This window comes from Homo sapiens, chromosome 15 (genome assembly GCF_000001405.40).
Source record: "Homo sapiens chromosome 15, GRCh38.p14 Primary Assembly".
Taxonomy (NCBI): Eukaryota; Metazoa; Chordata; class Mammalia; order Primates; family Hominidae; genus Homo; species Homo sapiens.
The window spans coordinates 101,835,570-101,855,038 of NC_000015.10; the positions used below are offsets into that span (position 1 = coordinate 101,835,570).

General features: G+C 36.2%; 1 pseudogene across 1 annotated transcript; it reads left to right on the forward strand.

The window, feature by feature from the left end:
• Nucleotides 1–6,549: 6,549 nt before the first annotated feature.
• On the forward strand, nt 6,550–14,755 carry OR4F13P (olfactory receptor family 4 subfamily F member 13 pseudogene; annotated as a pseudogene). The gene is made up of 5 exons (NR_046417.1): nt 6,550–6,579; nt 7,353–7,435; nt 7,907–8,004; nt 12,820–12,958; nt 13,052–14,755. The product of NR_046417.1 is annotated as an olfactory receptor family 4 subfamily F member 13 pseudogene (transcript).
• Nucleotides 14,756–19,469: the final 4,714 nt, after the last annotated feature.

A 19,469-nucleotide genomic window follows, 5' to 3' on the forward strand; every position in this document is an offset into this window, starting at 1 on the left:
CATGCGCCATCACTTACAAGCATCTGATTTGATAAATTGGTGGAATGCCTGCTTCTGCTAAGGTGTAGTTACAATGCCAGTTGGGAACCACATTTTGTGATGACGAGGTGCTCTCCTACAGGATGCAGGAGAAGCCTATGATGAGCTACTAAAGCAGGCTGTACTACTGGTCACAGCTCCTGTTCCTCATGCTCTTCTGCAGCCTTGGCTTTTATTTGTGATTCTTGAAACCCCTCCCTCATTAGACCCCCATAGCCCTAGGGATTATAAGAGCTCACTGCCCTTGCCAGCCCTGGGTTCCTTTCCATTTCTTCCTGGTTCTTATAACCCTTGCCCAAATTCTTGTATATAATTCCTTCAATCGATTATTTTCAATCACGCATTTTAGTGTGATATATTTTCTTATCTTGACCTTGATTATTTTCTACAATATCTGTAAAACTGAGAAAGAAAGTAGAGCAATATGGATTTACAGAAGTAAATGCACGTAACTGTCAAGCATAAAAAGGGTCTGGAAGAATACATACTACATGATAGTTACTCTAGAGAGGAGGGCAGGAGCCTTGGATTAAGGGTCATTAAAAGGTCTTTGTCTTTATTTGTGATGGTCTAGTTTTTAAAATGAGAACAAATTCATGTACTCTGTATGCAATTACAAATTATTAAAAATTTAAAGTATCAGTTGAAGATCTTTGCTGATATCAAGTCGTTCTGTGATACTTTAAACTGGATTTCAAATTTTCAGAGTATCATTTGCTTATAATTAAATTAAGATTTAATGAACTCTAATATATTAGATATATATTTTTCCAACTAAAACAAAACAGATAATTACATTGTTTGAAATTTCCATTTCAGACTACTCTGGGGGTTAAGGATAATGTACCCCTGAGCCGCCTGATTATAGGCCTGTTCTATAAAACATATTCTTTTGGACTTTATGGGCACTTGCAAGGGAGTCTGTGGGCCATAGATATGAATGACTGTCAGAGAAATGTTCAAGTGGTTTGCTTTTTCCTGGCTTTGCTGCTCTGAAGAGAGTCTGTCTTGGGAGGCAGTTTCAACCTAGAAGTTAGTCTTAAGAATTCAGTTATTTGCCTGTATTTCAAACTAATTTTTAACTTCTTAGCTCTGAAATTCATGATCATTGAGCCATTCTACCCTTATTTATGTTCCCTTTTAGTCATTGCCTATAATTCTATTTTGAAACTATTTTTTCTCTTTTTTTTTTTTTTACATTTTTGATTTGGCCTAATTTTATTCTTTAGATTTTAGTTTTGTTCAGTTAAACCAATATTTATAGAGTTCCTAATATGTGCCAGAAAATGTAAAAGGCATTATAGAGACAGAGAAAAATAAGCTAGACATCCTGGCTAGCTTCCATTCTGCAGGACATAGAGAAATAGTTTCAATGTCACCAGGTAAGTACAGTGATAGAGTTATGCATAAGATGGTATGGGAGTACAAAGAGGAGCAGAGGGTGCAGCAGTGTTTTCAACAACAGTTGTACATCAGAATTACCTGAGACACTTTTAAAAAATAATGAGACTCTTGGCTGACCTCCCAGAGAGTTTGATTCAATTGGTTTGGTTGGATACATTATTCCTATTATTATTTTACAATTAAGACTCTATTTTCCTTTCTAGTTTTCTTCTGTGTTTTTTTTAAAAATGTAAAGAATTAATTTTTTTAATTTTTAATTTTTTTAAATTATAGATACATAATTGAACATATTTGTGGGGTTCATGTGGTATTGCGATACAAGCATACAGTGTGTAATGATCAAATCAGAGTAGTCAATCCATCTCCTTCAATATTTATCATTTCTTTGTGGTAGGAACATTCTAATTCCACTCTTCTAGTTATTTTGAAATTTATAACAAATTATTAATTATAGTCACCCTATTGTGCTACCAAAACTAGATCTTAATCCTCCATGTAACCGTATTTTTGTACTCATTAACCATCCTCACTTTCTCTCCTGCATACCACTACCATTCTCAGCCTACAGTAATCATGATTCCACTCTCTAGCTCCATGAGATCTACAATTTTAGCTTCCATCGATGAATGAGAACCTGTGATCTTTGTCTTTTTTCACCTGGCTTATTTCACTTAATGTCCTCCAGGTCCATCCATGTTGTTTCAAAGGACAGGATTTTACTTTTTTGTGGCCAAATAATATTCCATTGTGTATATGTAACACATTTTCTTTATTTATCCATTGATGGGCACTTAGGTTGATTCTACATCCTGGCTATTGTGAGTAGTGCTGCAATAAACATGAGAATGCAGACTATCTTCAATATGCGGCTTTTTCTTTTCTTTTAAATATACGTCCAGCAGTGGGACTGCTGGATCATATGGTAATTTTACTTTTAGGTTTTTGAGAAGCCTCTATATTGTTATCCATAGTGATTGTATTAATTTACATTCCCTCCAACAGTGTATGCGGGTTCCCCTTTCTCCATATCCTCACCAGCATCCATTATTGCCCGTCTTTTGGATAAGAGCCATTTTAACTGGGGTGAGAGTATGTCTCATTGTAGTTTTATTTTACATTTCTCTGATAATTAGTAACGTTGAGCATTTTTCATATACTTGTTTCCCATTTGTGTCTTCTGAGAAATGTCTATTGAAATCTTTTACCCATTTTTTAATCAGTTTTTTTTTTGCTATTGAATTATTTGAGCTCCCTACATATTCTGGTTATTAATCACTTGTCAGATGGGTAGTTTGCAAATATTTTCTCTGATTCTGTGGATTGTCTCTGCACTTTGTTGACTTTTTCCTGTACTGTGCAGAAGTTTTAGCCATTTTTTAATTGAATTATTAGATTTAGTTTTTTTTTCCTATTGTTTTTGAGCTCTTTATATGTTCTGGTTATTAATCTCTCGTCAGATGGGTAGTTTGCAAGTATTTTCTCCCATTCTGTGAGTTGTCTCTTTGTTGACTCTTTCCTTCACTGCACAGAAGCTTTTTAGCTTGATATGTTCCCATTTGTCCATTTTTGCTTTGGCTGTCTGTGCTTTTGAGGTCTAGCTCAAGAAATCTTTGCCTACTTCAATGTCCTGGAGAGCTTACCCAATGTTTTTTTTTTTTTCAGCAGTTTCATAGTTTGAGGTCTTAGATTTAAGTTTTTAGTTCATTTTGATTTGATTTTTGTATGTGGTGAGAGATAGGGGTTTACACTCACTTTTCTGCATATGAATATCCAATTATCGCAGCACCACTTATTGAAGAAACTGTCCTTTTCCCAATGTATGTTCTTGGCACCTTTGTCAAAAATGAGTTCACTGTAGATGTATAGATTTATTTTTGGGTTCTCTATTCTGTTCCACTGGTCTATGTGTCTGTTTTTATGCCAGTACTGTACAGTTTGGTTTACTATAGCTCTGCAGTATAATTTGAAGTCAGGTAATGTAATTCCTCCAGTTTTGTTCTTTTTGCTTAGGATAACTTTGACTTTTCTGGGTCTTTTATAGTTCCATATACATTTTAAGATTTTTGTTTCTATTTCTGTGAAGAATGTCATTGATATTTTGACCTGGATTGCACTGAATCTGTAGATTGCTTTTGGTAGTATAAACATTTTAACAATATTAATTCTTTCAATTGCTAGTATTTTTAAAGGATTTTTCATCAATATTCATCAGCAATATTGGGCTCTAGTTTTCTGTTCTTGCTGTGTCTTTCTCTGGCTTTGTTATCAGGGTAATACTGGCCTTGTAGAAGGAGTTTGGAAGTATTCCCTCTTTCTCCATTTTTTAAATTTATTATTTTTTTATTATACTTTAAGTTCTAGGGTACATGTGCACAATGTGCAGGTTTGTTACATATGTATACATGTGCCATGTTGGTGTGCTGCACCCATTAACTTGTCATTTACATTAGGTATATCTCCTAACGCTATCCCTCCCCCTCCCCCCACCCCACAACAGTCCCCAGAGTATGTTGTTTCCCTTCCTGTGTCCATGTGTTCTCATTGTTCAATTCCCACCTATAAGTGAGAACATGCGGTGTCTGGTTTTTTGCCTTGCGACAGTTTGTAGTTTGAGTAGGATTGGTACTGGTTATTCTATTTATTTATTTATTTTTTTATTATTATACTTTAAGTTTTAGGGTACATGTGCACATTGTGCAGGTTAGTTACATACGTATACATGTGCCATGCTGGTGTGCTGCACCCACTAACTCGTCATCTAGCATTAGGTATGTCTCCCAATGCTATCCCTCCCCCCTCCCCCCACCCCACAGCAGTCCCCAGAGTGTGATGTTCCCCTTCCTGTGTCCAAGTGTTCTCATTGTTCAATTCCGACCTATGAGTGAGAACATGCGGTATTTGGTTTTTTGTCCTTGCAATAGTTTGTAGTTTGAGTAGGATTGGTATTAGTTATTCTTTAAATGTTTGGTAGAATTTGGAAATGAAGCCATTGGGTCCCAGGCTTTTTTAGTCCATTTAAATTTAATGTTATTATTGATAAGTAAGGATTTACCGCTGCCCTTTTAAAATTTGTGTTCTGGTTGTTTTGTGGCCTTCCTTCCATCCTTCCATCCTTTCTTCTTTCCATCTTCCTTTTGGTGAAGGTCATTTTCTCTGGTGGTATGATTTAATTTATTGCTTTTTATTTTTTATGTATCTGTTGTATGTTTTTTGATTTGAGATTTCCATCAGACAGTAAACCCTATCTTATAATAATCCATTGTTTTAAGTTGATAACAACTTAAAACTGCTTGTATAAACAAACACACAAACTAACACGCAAAAAGAAAACTAATAAAAGCTCTGAACATCATCCTCCCAGTTTTTAACTTTTTGTTGTTGCTATTTATATATATCTCTCTCTTTAAAGTAAATACAGGGTTTTGCCATGTTGGCCAGGTTGGACTTGAACTCCTGACCTCAAGTGATCCATCTGCTTTGACCTCTGAAAGTGCTGGGATTACAGGTGTGAGCCACGGCACCTGGCCTGTTTCTATTTATGTCTTATTGTACAGTCTATGTCTTGAAGAGTTGTTGTAGTTGTTATTTTTGATTGGTTCATCTTTTAGTTTTCCTACTTAAGAGTAGTTTACACACTACATAGTGTTATAATATTCTGTGTTTCAGAAATATTTTAAATAATTTTAAAGTAATACTATTATCGGTGAATTTTGTACCTTCAGAGGATTTTTTATTGCTTATTAACATCCTTTTCTTTCTGATTGAGTGCTCCCTTTGTCATTTCTTGTGGGACAGGTCTCACCTTTTGTTTGTCTGGGAAAGCCTTTATTTCTCCTTCATGTTTGAAGGATAATTTCACCAGATGTACTATTCTAGGGTACAAGTTTTTCTTTCAGCACTTTAAATATGTCATGCCACTTTCTCCTGGCCTGTAAGGTCTCCACTGAAAAGTCTGCTGCCAAACATATTGGATCTCCATTGTTTATTTTCTCATTTCTCTTGCTGATTTTAGGATCCTTTCTTTATCCTTTACCTCTGGGAGTTTGCTTATTAAATGCCTTGAAGTAGTCAGACGTGAAGCTAGTACAGCACTGGGTCTCACTCAAGGTCTGCTATACCCACTTCCTGGCTATGGCCCATGTTCCTTAAGGGTCCCAGGGCTCTTCAGTCAGCCTGTGGTGAATGAGGCCTGGGACTCACCCTTCAGGACAGTGGGCTCCCCTCTGGCCCAGAGTAAGTCCGGAAATGCCATCCCAGAGCCAAGGCCTGGAACTGAGGACCCCAAAAGTCCGCTTGGTGTTTTACCCCTCTGTGGCTGAGCTGATAGCTGAGGTGCAAGACAAAGTCCCCTTTACTTTTTCCTGTACTTTTCTCAAGCAGAAGAATCTCTCTCCATAGCCACCACAGCTGGGAATGTGCCAGTTCACACCTGAAGCCAGCACATCTCTGAGTCTCACCCAAGGCCTGCAGCATACTACCTGGATATGGCTGCTGCTGCTTCCGGGCCGAAGGGCTTTTTAAGCAGTAGGTTGTGGATCCTGCTGGGACTGGGTTCTTCCCTTCAAGGCAGTGGGTTCCTTTCTGGCCCAAGGTATGTCTAGAAATGTTGTTCGAGAGTTAGGGCCAGATGACGCTGACCGTTGTGTCCTATCCTACTATGGCTGAGCTGGTATTTAAGATGCAAGAGAAAAGTCCTCTTCACCCTTCTCTCCTCTCATCAAACATAAGGAAAAGGTCTCTTTTGGAGAGGTGCATTGTTCTGCCTGTGGTTGGGGAAGGGATAATGTAAGCACTCCCTCAGCTGCCCCAGCTGGTGTCTCAAAGGTCACGTGCCCCCCACCTCCTCAGTCGGCTGGCTCTGAGCCCAGCTCAGGACTAGGACTTGCCTAGGAATTGCAGTCTTTGCGTCCTATACTGCCTTTCAAGTTAATATGGGGCCCCACAGCCCTCCAGCCCTGGGTGGTGAGGCTGGCTGGAACTCATCCTCCCACTGAAGGGATGGGTGATGTCCTCTGGCTAGTTAGTGCTGGTTGTTTTTTTTTTTAATTTTATGTATATATATATATTATACTTTAAGTTCTAGGGTACCTGTGCCATGCTGGTGTGCTGCACCCATTAACTCGTCATTTACATTAGGTATATCTTCTAATGCTATCCCTGCCCCCAACCCCAGCCCCACAACAGGCCCCAGTGTGTGATGTTCCCCTTCCTGTGTCCAAGTGTTCTCATGGTTCAGTTTTTAAACGCACCCTCCGTGGTGAGTGTCAGCTGAGTTCAGCTCTGTTCTGCTTTCTGTGGGACAGGGCAGCACTGAGTTCCATGCAAAGCCTCACAGTTGCTGTGCTATGCCTATCTCCACCACCCAGTGCTGTGGGTGGTCGGGGGGAGCGGTGGCGTCACAACTCAAGACTGAATTCAATATTTCAAGAGGATAGAAAAGACATCTTCTATCCTCTTCAGTGCCTCTTTTAGTGATATTAAGTCAAAAACAGGCACTACGAGTGCTTACCTGATCTTTGGTTCCTATGAAGCTACTCCTTTTGTGTAGATAGTTGTCAGACGTGGTGTTCTTGTGTGTGTGTGTGTGGCAGGGGTGGTGATCGGTGGAGACTTCTATTCAGCCATTCTGCCCCTCCCCCTCTTCCTAATTTTAAACCACCAATGAGCAAGTTGGACTTAGCAGATAAAATCTCCAAGGGTGAGGGTCTTAAAATATCCAGTCTCAGTTTTGTTTCCTCTCCAGGACTCATTACAAGACTTTTCTTTTGGTGGTTCTTACCAAGCCAATCAGGTTCCAGGGACAATTCCCCTGGCCACATGAACAAAGCTGGCAAATCCAGGTTTCTGCAAAAGCAGCTAGTCAGTATTCTTCAGTGCTGTTAATTCACTACTTTTTGTGATTCTCTTAGCTTTTTATATAATAGAAGTGGCACAAGCAGAAGCTCAGTTACCTGTATTCTAATTACCTGAAGATCATGTGGTCTGGGAACAGGTAAGTGGAAAGATGGAAAGTCAAGATAACAGCAGGAAAAAAATTTAAATTGATTTATGAAATTTAGTTTCAGCAAAATAGTGTAGTGGCAGAATCTCTCTTTGCATTTATCAAATAAGATTTTGGTGTGGTCAAGTAGGTTATAACGTAGGGAAGAAGGAACAGATCACATTAGGGCATACATAAGGGGCTACAGATCATGAAGAAAGGCAAATAACTGACTTTCACTTTTACCTGGTAGTAGAAATGTATCATGGGTATCCACAGTAAAAGGAAGGCTATGAAGGAGAGTTGGACTCAGCACAATGCAGTGTCTTTAGCAGAGGCAAGAGATTTGGGAGTTCAAATGGTGACTTAGAAAATGATTTATTATTTAAAAATCTTCTTAACCTGTTTGATAGGCGTGAAGGGAAATTAATAACCTATAGAAGTTAAAAGTGAAGACCACTTGCTCTATCTCTGTCTTTGCAGAAAAGTTTAAAAAGGAAGTCTGCTAGAGACTCATGTTCTGTGGCACTTCTTGGGACCAAATTAAATGAAATAAACAGAATTTGGAGAAGAATTGACCGGTAAACTGTCTTTCTGAGAGCCCACCTGCCCTTACCTGCATGCCTTACTACACACTTAATATCATTTTCAACTGTGAAGAAGAAAAACTGTTATAATGGTACTAATGGAGGAATAAATTATTCTGCTATGATAGTTCGTTGGACGTTTAGTTGTTTTTTTCTTCTTCCTCTCTAGTTTTGGCCATTACAATGTAAAATAGAGGTAGATACATTTCAGGTAAAATAACAAATTTTTGGAATCCAGGAATCCAGGGACATGAAAATTGACCGTAAGAGGAAAGATGAAAGGAAGGAGTAATTTAGTTTGATTACTTAATTCAAGCATGGTAATGATTTATATGAGAGGATATAAGGACACCTGTATTTTTACTTTTAAAAAGAAACAGACAAGTGAACATAGGCTTAAAACAAATAACCAGAAAGTTCAGCTGGGAGCAGGGAAGAAGTTTTGGGCTGTTGAAATGATAAAGCACAGGAATGGCCAAAAAAGAGAAATATTGAATTCTTAAGTAGTATGACTTAGATAATTTAGAAATGCCACTGATGTGGACTGGACTGGACAGAAATTCTCCCTCAATGCTTTATTTCTATGCCTTTATTAGTAGGATACTAATTTTATCTATTTTCTTCAACTATAAATTTTAACATGGCTAAGAATTTCTTCTGGGAGACTGACCAAATTCATATAAATATGCAAATCAAATGATGTTGTTTGGAGAGCAAATATTAAAAAGTTATGATTTGTAACTTTTATAGTCTTGAATTAATAAAAAAGAAAAAAAAAGCATGGTGGAGGAAAGTCCTGGAGAACCAAAGATTGAAAGTATTCTTTTAGAACAAGCTCAGTTTACTGAGAGCAAAGAATGGCTCAGAGAGCACTGAACACCCTTCAGGGGGCAGTGGGATACCTTTCTCTAGCCTTGTGTATTCCACCAGGAGCAACTTTTGCCTTTGAGACTCTGAAGACACAAGTTAAATACACTGTAAATATCTTGTGATATACAATTATTTGCTTTGCTTCTTTTCCAGTTTTAGGCTATCTGGCCCATTTCTAAAATTCATTTTTTCCTGTTTCCTTGTCCAATTTCTCCATCATTTGTATCACATTCAGGCTCATTACATTTGGATAATATCAGATATTCTAAACTTGTGTTTTTTCTCTCCAAACTCCATTTGCTTAAATACCTGCTGCTGCTTCCAGAAGGAGATCAGAAAAAATAATCTACACAAAACTATGAAAGACTTGTTATTTCTTATTATCTGAACCTTTGGGACATTAGTACATATTTCTCAGATTTATTGCTTGTGCATCTAGAAAAATTCTGATTTTATCTATCAAATCGTGGGATACATTAGGTATATAGCCAAGTTTTTTTGTTTAACGATGATGCATTCTTTCATTTTTTGTAAAGTGTTGTCATTATAGACTTCCGGTGTCCCTAGCAATAACTAGTCTGCGTTGTTTAGAGACCTTTCTTCTTTTGAGTTGCATTTAAGCTTCCCTTTTGACTGTCTATTCATCTATTCATCTTTCATCATCCTTCCTTCCCTCAATGCATCCATTCTCCCATCCAGCTACTCATCCACTTACTCATTCACTGCCGCACCAAACACTCATTAGAGCACACCATGTGACGGGAATGATGGTGAGGAATAAATTGATATAAAAACTGAATTTTACATAGAGAAGCTCATAGTTTAATGCAGGGGTTTTCTACTTTGGCGCCATTGACATTTGGGGCTGGTCAGTTTTTGCTGTGGGGTCTATCCTGTGCAGTGTAGGATATTTAGTAGTATCCCTGGTTTATACACACCAGATGCCAGTAGTATTCTTCCCCCCATTATCCCTCATTGGGGAAACTAAAAACGTTTTCAGACATTGCTAAATGTCCCCTGGGAGGTAAAATGCCCTGGATGAGAACCACTGGATTAATAAGACTGACATAATTTCTCTGTATTGTGGTATTTCCTACAATAAATATGCACATTGGAGATATATTCTGGATATATTATATCTGTACTCCCCACCTCTGATCGTTACTAACATACTTCTGTAAAGTAGTTCTTAGTTTAATCATGAAAGAAGAACTTATGTTTGAGGAAATTATTCACAGTTTAATTGTTTTGCTCTGCAGCAACTTTAGTTATTCTACGTGATAGCTTTCATGTAAATTCATCTAAATAGCTAAACAAACTTTATCACTGTTTTTTCTTCCATGCAGTCTCTGTTGAAGTAACTTTCAGAGGATATTTAATAGAAATGCTCTTCATAAAAAGTTTTCATTAAATGCCAAATTATTGAAAATGTGCCACTATATAGAACAGGATGAGAACTGGAATTTGTGATCAACTCAGTAAAATGAATTTTTCTTTTCTGTTTGCCCATATTTCTGTTTTTTAAAACATATATTTTATCACATTTAATTGAAGTTGATTACTTCTGTATTAGTAGTGTTTTAAGCACAGACTTTTAATGGTATATGTCTCACACAAAAATGGTTGACAATAGTTAAATGATATTACATGAAATCTAACTGGATATGACATTATTATCCTGAACAGATTTTCCTGGCTAGAAGTAGAACCTCATCTTTCTATTAATCTAGTATTTTTCTGTTTATTTGCATCTTAGATGTTTTTTTGCGCTGATGATTTCATCCTGTCTTATAGAGAAGTCGATGTGATAGCCCTTAAAAAAGTCCTGATAATGTGGAGCTTAAGTGACAAAAGGAAAGATTATTCTTGCTTTCTTGGTTTCAGAAACAGCCTTACTTAGGAAAACAAGTTCAAAGAGTTCAGTGTAATTGGTCTGAAAACCAAAACAGTTATTTAAAAGGAGAAATGGCGCATTTAAATTCTCATTTAGAGAATATGGCAGAGTAAATAGAGAATATTTTGTTTTTTTCACTTAAAAATTCCTACTTGGTTATAACAACATTTTCAGCCTATATAATTGCTTGTGGTATTGAGTTTCGTAGCTTTCTACTTGCTTTGAAAGAGATTACAGTTGACCCTCAGTATCTGTGGGGAATTTATTCCAGGACCTCCCACCCGCCGCCCTTGGATAACAAAATCCTTGGATGCACAAGTTCCCTACATAAAATGGCATAGTGTTTACATATAACCTGAACATATTCTTCTTTATACTTTAATCTCTAGGTTACTTATAATATCTAATACAATGTAAATGCTATGCATGTAGTTGTTATACTGTATTGTTTTCTTATTTTTTAAATAAAAAAATTGTGGCTACATAGTAGGTACATATTTCTACTTTTTGTTATTTTTCATTTTACTTTATTTTTCCCAAATATTGTTGATCTGAAGCTGATTAAATCTGCAGGTGCAGAACCTGTGGATATGAAGGAATTATACCTTTTGTTTGCCTCAGACTCCCTTCTCAAAACTCCAAATGTTTCCTTATTCTAGAGTCCTTATTAGATTTGGTGACCAAATATATGTTTACCAGAACTGTTTGTGTTTTTACAGATTTGAGATCTCATGTATTTTCGTATGAAAACTCTCTAATAAGATGCAGTGTTTTATAGTCTCCAAAAGGTCAGGGTTATCTATAGCCTGAAAATTTCACCATGTATCATTTCAGTGTCTCCAGAATCTAGTACCTCTCATTGGCTCGACTTCTACCACCCTGATCTAAGCCAACATTATCTCTTGGATTTTTGCTAGTGATAAAAATGTGTTTCTAGCCAATCTCTCTGCTTCTATCCTTGAGACTCTGAAGCATATTCACAATGCAACAGACAGAGTAACCCTTTAACAATGTAAGCTATATTTTGTTGTTTCTCTGTTCAAAACCTAGTTGCTTGTTATCTCATTCAGAGTAATGATAAAAGTACTTACAATGGCTTATAAGGACCTACATGATCTGTGCACCTGTTACCTCTCAAACCTCATCTACTCTACCCTCCTTGCACACTCAGGTTCAGCCTTTTGGACCTCCTTGTAGTTCTTTGCAGATGTCAAGTGAGTTTACATTTCAGAGCTTTTGCTCTTGCTGTTATTTCTGCCTGAAGTACTCTTTCCCCAAACACCCTCATGACTTGTTCATCCATCTTCTTAGATTTCTGCTCAGTCAACTCATCAGCAAGAATGTTATTGTTAATCCTGTTTTATAATAGCACTCCCCTTAGTGCCCTATTCTTCTTCCTTGCTTAATTGTTATCCACAGTGAAATAATTGTCTGACACTGTGTATATCTTTATTTATTTATTTAATTGTCTGACTCTTTCTGTCAAAATGTAAATCTGTGAGGACAGGGACTTTTACCTATTTTGTTCTTGGCTATATTCCTAGTGCTTAGTTCCTGGCTCATAATACAAGAAATTATTAGGTAAGAACTACTTCAGCCTAATCATTTATTTACTCAAAAACCTTTTTTTTGTCACCTAGTATTTGCAACACATTGTATGGGCAAACTATTGAAATAAAAAATTAAAGGAGTGATGATTTATAACCTTGAGCAGTTTATAATTCTATAGGGGAATAGACATGTGACCAACAAGCATTTGGGTATATTGGTGGGTCCTAAGGAAGGTTTGATAAATGAGGTGCTATTTGATCTGGATATTAAAGAACAAATTATATTTTGAGAAGTGTAAAATAGGGAAAGAAAATTTGTGGCTTGAACAAAGAAATCTGAGTCACAAGATCTTAAAAGTCTATGTCACAGAATAGCCCTCTTTGTCTGTCTCGTATCATCATTAGTTATTACTCCTCCAGGGAGAGGGTGGTGAATATTGATTTTACTGATACAGCAATTTGACATCAAATGCACTTTCTTTGTGATTTCCACAGGTAAACACAGGTACCAATCTACCAGACTATTTCACCATCCCTTAAATTAGCAAGCTCATGTGGCAGCTTCGTTACTGTCACATGTAACTGCAGCAGTAGTGGCCAAAAGAATGTCATTTGTTATTCATGAGGTGCTCAGGTAATATTTGACTTTCATGGTTATATACTTTTTCATAGAGGCTATTAATATAATACTATTAATTAGAAATTTCTCATTTTTTTTTCTCTTTAGGTAACGTGAAAGTGAACTTATCAAATGAATAGGGACAACCAGTCTGTGGTGTCTGAATTCGTGTTGCTGGGACTCTCAAATTCTTGGGAGACTCAAGATTTTTCTTTTTTGCTTTTCTTGTCTTTTCTATGTGTCCGGTGTGATGGCAAACCTCATTGTAGTGGTCACTGTAACCTCTGACCCTTACTTGCACTCCTCCTTGTATATTTTGCTGGCCAACCTCTCTGTCATTGATCTCACATTTTGCTCCATTGCAGCACGCAAGATGATTTGTGATATTTTCAGGAAACAGAAAGTCATTTCCTTTTGGGGCTGTGTAGCTCAGATCTTCTTTAGCCATGCTGTTGGGGGCACTGAGATGGTGCTGCTCATAGCCATGGCCTTTGACAGATATGTTGCCGTATGTAAGCCCCTTCACTACCTGACCATCATGCATCCAAGAATGTGCATTTTGATTCTAGTGGCTTCCTGGGCCATTGGTCTCATTCACTCATTGGTCCAATTGTCTTTTGTAGTAAACTTGCCCTTCTGTGGCCCTAATGTGTTGGACAGCTTTTACTGTGACATACCTCAGCTCATCAAACTTGCTTGCACAAATACCTATAAACTGCAGTTCATGGTTACTGCTAATAGTGGGTTCATTTCCTTGAGTGCTTTCTTCTTGCTCATCCTCTCTTACATCTTCATTCTGGCCACTCTTCAGAAACACTCCTCAGGAGGCTCATCCAAGGCTGTCTCTACTCTGTCAGCTCATATTACTGTTGTGGTTTTATTCTTTGGTCCACTGATTTTTTTCTATGTATGGCCCTCTCCTCCAACACATCTGAATAAATTTCTAGCCATATTTGATGCCATTTTCACTCCTTTTCTGAATCCAGTCATCTACACATTCAGGAACAGGGAAATGAAGATTGCAATAAGGAGAGTGTTCGGTCAATTTATGGGTTTTAGAAAAACTACTTAAGTGGCTTTATTAAAACACAGAATTTCCAAGTGACTATTGAAAGTCCACAGTAGGCAGTCCTCATAGCAATGAGAACACTTGGACACAGGAAGGGGAACATCACACACTGAGGCCTGTCATGGGGTTGGGGGAGGGATAGCATTAGGAGATATACCCAATGTTAAATGACGAGTTAATGGGTGCAGCACACCCACATGGCACATGTGTACATATGTAACAAAGCTGCACATTGTGCACATGTACCCTAGAACTTACAGTATTTTATATATATATATGAAGAGACTTTATACTGTGCATCACTTTGAGTTCTCACAGACCTTCATTGCCCATATGGAGGGTCTATTTTGTTCCCACTGAAGAATGAATGACATTTGTCCTCGAAGAGAAAGAGACTTTATATGTAATATATAGAAATCAAAGATTATATTCATTCTTATTTTTTAGTTCCCAAAGAATCATGTCATTAATAATATTCACATGGATTAAATAATGGTGTAAATAAGTTTGTTTCTCAGAATAACTGTATTGCTGTTTTCAAGCTGTCCTGCCCTCTAATTGGAATATTTGTTAACATCATGCTTTATTATCTGTGTACATCTCATATCTCCATTTTTATTTGTTCTGCCTTGTTATCTCAGTCTTTTGGTTATTTGTTCCGCCTTGTTATCTCAGTTTTTTGGTTATGAGTAAACAGTAGTAAACATCTTTAGGATTTGTGGTCATGTACACATTTTAATCCACAGAGCTTGCTTTTGTGTTTTTTTGTTCCATATGTTGAAGAATGTTTTTTACTTTATTTTCAGTCAAGTAGATCAGGTGTTGGCAAACTTTTCTGTAAAGGGCCAGATTAGAAATGGTTTTTGCTCTGTGGGCTATGTGGCCTCTGTTGTAACCACTTAATTCTGTTGTAAGATGGAAATAGCCATAAACAACACATAAATGAATAGGCATGGCCAAGTTCCAATAAAACTTTACAAAAACAAGAGGCAGGCCAGATTTGATCCAATGGCTATAGTTTGCCAATTCCAGAAGTAAATTTTGTCCACCGAGTTCCAGTAAAACTTCACAAAAACAGGAGGCAGGCCGGATTTGACCCAATGGCTATAGTTTGCCAACTCCAGAAGTAAATTTTGTCCAATATACAGATTTGCCTATTTCCTCAAATATCACAGTGTTTGTCTTATAACAAGAGTATAAAATGAAAGACAATATAGTACAGAACAAAATTTGTGGCTAAAATATATAAATTCTCATCTCAATAACATCAACTCACTTACTGTGTAATCTTACTTAAATCATTTAACACTTCCAAAATTCAGAGGTGGCAAATAGAACTCACAGGTTTATGATGATGATTAAATCAGATATTTGAAAAGGCTTTATCAATTTAAAAGCTAGCCTGGTTTTCTTTCCTGGACTATAACCATTTGCTTGCAGACTATCAACTTACAAATAAAATCCATTTTATCTTCTAATTTATCCATCACATATTAAAGTTACCTTCCATATTATATTCTTTCTGTCCTATACACTCACAAAAATATCTTGTGATGTATCTCCATGATCTTGTCTTTTCATTGCATTCTGGTGTGTACTTTCATTGCTTTGTGTCACCTGTAGAACTGAAGATTTAATAGTTTACTACTTTCTTCTTTAGGTCATTGGTTAAAAAAAGGCTAACATTTACAGAGTACATACTATATGTTAGGCACTCATAATTAACTCATTTAATCCTCACAGTAGTCCTTGAGATAGACACTTTTATCAGCCTCATTGTACAATTTGAGAGATGAGATGGAGAAACAGAGGGGTCAAGTAACTTGTTTAATGTTAGTAAGTGGTAGAGTTAGGTTTAAACAGACAGTATGGCTCCAGAGGCTAATTTCTTAAATGTTGTGTGATTTTTCTTCTCATAAAATTGGTTTAATATGGATCTCTGGTGAATTTTAGCTGATATTTCTTCATGTAAGGCCAATTATTCTATACCTTTCTCTGTTGCCTGTATTTATATCAATTCCATGTGGATGGTAAAATAATTTTAAATTAAATGAATTATTTTATGAAACCACTGTGGAATTATGTACATACAGTTTAGCTATTATATAATAATATTTAATAACAGAGTTGCTAAAGATAGATTATTAAGTAAAAAGGGAGGTAATAAAACAAGATTTGAAATTTTGTTTATTTTAAAATTAATTTGTGTATGTACACCAAAATGTTAATAGTGGTATTTCTCCAGGGGAAGAATATAGGTGGTTTTTACTATCATCTCATACTTGCCTATACATTTTATTTTTGCATTATATTTTTTGCGTTACAGTCTATGTGTCTGTTTTTTATGCCAGTTTTGTGCTGTTGTGATTACTATAGCTTTGTAGTATATTTTGAAGTTAAACAGTATGATGCCTTTAGATTTGTTCTTTTTGCTCAAGATTGTTTTGGCTGTCTGGGGTCTTTTGTTGTTCCACATGAATTTTAGAATTGTGTTCTCTATTTCTGTTAAAAATGTCATTGGAATTATGATAGGGATTACACTGAATCTGTTGATCACTTTGGGTAGTATGAACATCTTAACAACAGTGAATTCTTCAATCCATTGACACAGGATGTTTTGTCACTTATTTATGTCTTCTTCAATTTCTTTTATTAATGTTTTATAGTTTTCAGTGTGCAGATTTTTCAGTTCCTTAGTTAAATTTATTCCTAGGTATTTTGGTTTTTGTATCAATTGTAAAAGGGATTCTTTTCTTGACTTCTTTTTCACACAGTTCAGTAGTATATAGAAACATTACTGAATTTTGTATGTTAATATTATATTTTGAGACTTAATTGAATTTGTTAATCAGTTCTAATAGTTTTTCAGTGGAGTCTTTAGAATTTACTATGTATAACATCATGCCATCTGCAAACAAATAATATAACTTCTCCTTTTCCAATTTGGATGCCTTCCATTTCATTTTATTGCATAATTGCTCTGGCTAGAAATTCCAGTATTATATTGAACAGAGAGATGAGATCAGTCTTGTTCCTGATCTCAGAGAAAAAGCTTTCAGCTTTTCACCCTTAAGAACGATGGCAGCAGTTGGTTTGTCATATATTGCCTTTATTGTGTTGAAGTACATTTCTATACCTAGATTGTTGTGAGTTTTTGTCATGAAAGTATGTGAATGTTGTCAAATGCTTTTTCTGCATCTATTTAGATGATCATATGGTTTTTGTATTATATTCTGTTAATGTGGCATATCACATTTTTTGATTTGAGTATGTTGACCATCCTTGGATCACCAAGTCACCAAGTCCAACTTGATCGTGGTGAATAATTTTCTTAATGTGGTGTTGAATTAGGTTTGCTGGTATTGTTTTTGAGGATTTTCACATCTATGTTCATTAGGGATATTGACTTGTAATTTTCCTTTCTTGTAATGCTCTTGTTTGGATTTGGTATCGGGGTAATGTTGGGTTTACGAAATGAGTTTAGAAGCATTCTTTCCTCTTGAATTTTTTGGAAGAGTCTGAGAGGGATTGGCATTAATTCTTTTTATTTATTATTATTTTTTTGAGACAGAGGCTTGCTCTGTCACCCAGGCTGGAGTGTGATGGTGCGATCTCAGCTCACTGCAACCTCTGCCTCCCAGGTTCAAGTAATTCTCCTGCCTCAGCCTCCTGAGTAGCTGGGCCTACCATGCCCGGCTGATTTTTTAATTTTAAGTAGAGATGGGGTTTCACCATGTTGGCCAGGCTGGTCTTGAAATCCTGACCTCAAGTGAGCCATCCATCTCGGCCTCCCAAAGTGCTGGAATTACAGGCGTGAGCCACTGATCCCGGCCCATTAATTCTTTCTTAAATGTTTGGTAGAATTTACTAGAGGAGCTATTTTGTCTTGCCCTGAGATTTTCTCTGATGGGAGACATTTTTTGTTTATTACTGATTCAATGTTCTAAATGGTTTTTATTCTGTTTAGATTTTCTGTTTCTTTGTGATTTAATCTTGACAGGATGTACATACCTAGGAATTTATTTCGTTCTTTTTGATTATCCAATTGGCTGGTGTATAATTGTTCGTAGTAGTCGGTTTTGTTTATCTTTTTAAAACACCATCTCTTAAGTTTTTGTAGATCTCTTCTGTTTTTCTTATCTTTATTTTATTTCTGCTCTGATCTTTATTACTTTCTTCTTTCTACTAACTTTAGACCTAGTTTGTTCTTCTTTGTCTGGTTCCTTGATATGTAATGTTAGATTGTTGAGTTGACATCTTTCCTCTTTTTTCATGTAGGCATTTATTGCTACAAATTTCACTCTTAGAACTGCTTTTGCTGCTTTCCATATGTTTTGGTATGTTGTGTTTCCAGTTTAATTGTCTCAAAATATTTTTAAATTTACCTTTTGATTTCTTCATTTACCCATTAGTTACTCAGGGGTATGTGTAATTTCTACATATTTGTGAATTTTCCGGTTTTTCTCCCATTGAGTAGTAGATTCATACTGTAGTGGTTGTAAAAGATACTTCACATGATTGTAATTAAAAAATCTGTGAAGGCTTGTTTTATAGCCTAATATATGATCCATCCTAGAGAATGTTTCATGTGCACTTGAAAAGAGTGTGTATTGTGCTGCTGTTGGGTGGAATATTCTCTATATGTCTGTTGTATCCATTTAGTCTGGAGTGTTGTTCAAGTCTACAGTTTATTTATTTTCTGTCTAAATGATCTGTCCATTGTTGAAGGTGGGGTACTTAAGTCTCCTACTATTATCTTATGGTCATATTTTAGAGACCTTTACCTTGAACTCATGCTTTATTTACTAAATTTAGACTAGATCTGTACCTTCAAACCATATATACATTTTTTTTTGCAGAATCTTTTCTGAAATTGGCTGAAGATAATAAATAGTTTCCTGCTTTTCTGAGATCACACAGTGAGAAATAAATTATCAAAAGCTGAAACAAGAAAGGCACTGCACACCAACTTCTAGTTGGTACTCTGGCAGGCTTCATGTATAACATATGTACTATACTTATATATGTTATACCTATACATACTTAGGTAGGTGTATGTTATACCTACCTATGTATGTAGCCTATACTTACAAGTATCTCCATAAATGGGAGGGGTTACTAAGGGAGATTTCATACTAAAATGGCCAAAATTATTATTCTCAAACATTAAGGCATGCCAGGTTTTCTGGGACTCTAGGAAGCTACATATTGTATCTTGTTCTTGTACAAATTTTTAAACTGGTGAGCAAATTACTTAAAATTCAGAACTCAAATGGCCAATATTGCTGCAACTATAGAGTTAACACATAAAGTCTTCTAAGTTCTCTAACTCTCTAGTTTTTTCCCTACCTAATTTGAATGTGATGACTTTTCTACTGGTGTGTGATAAAATTCACTATTTTGGGTATTAGTAATTCAAGGTTACTTGGAGATTTTTTCTTATACAATTCAGCCAGT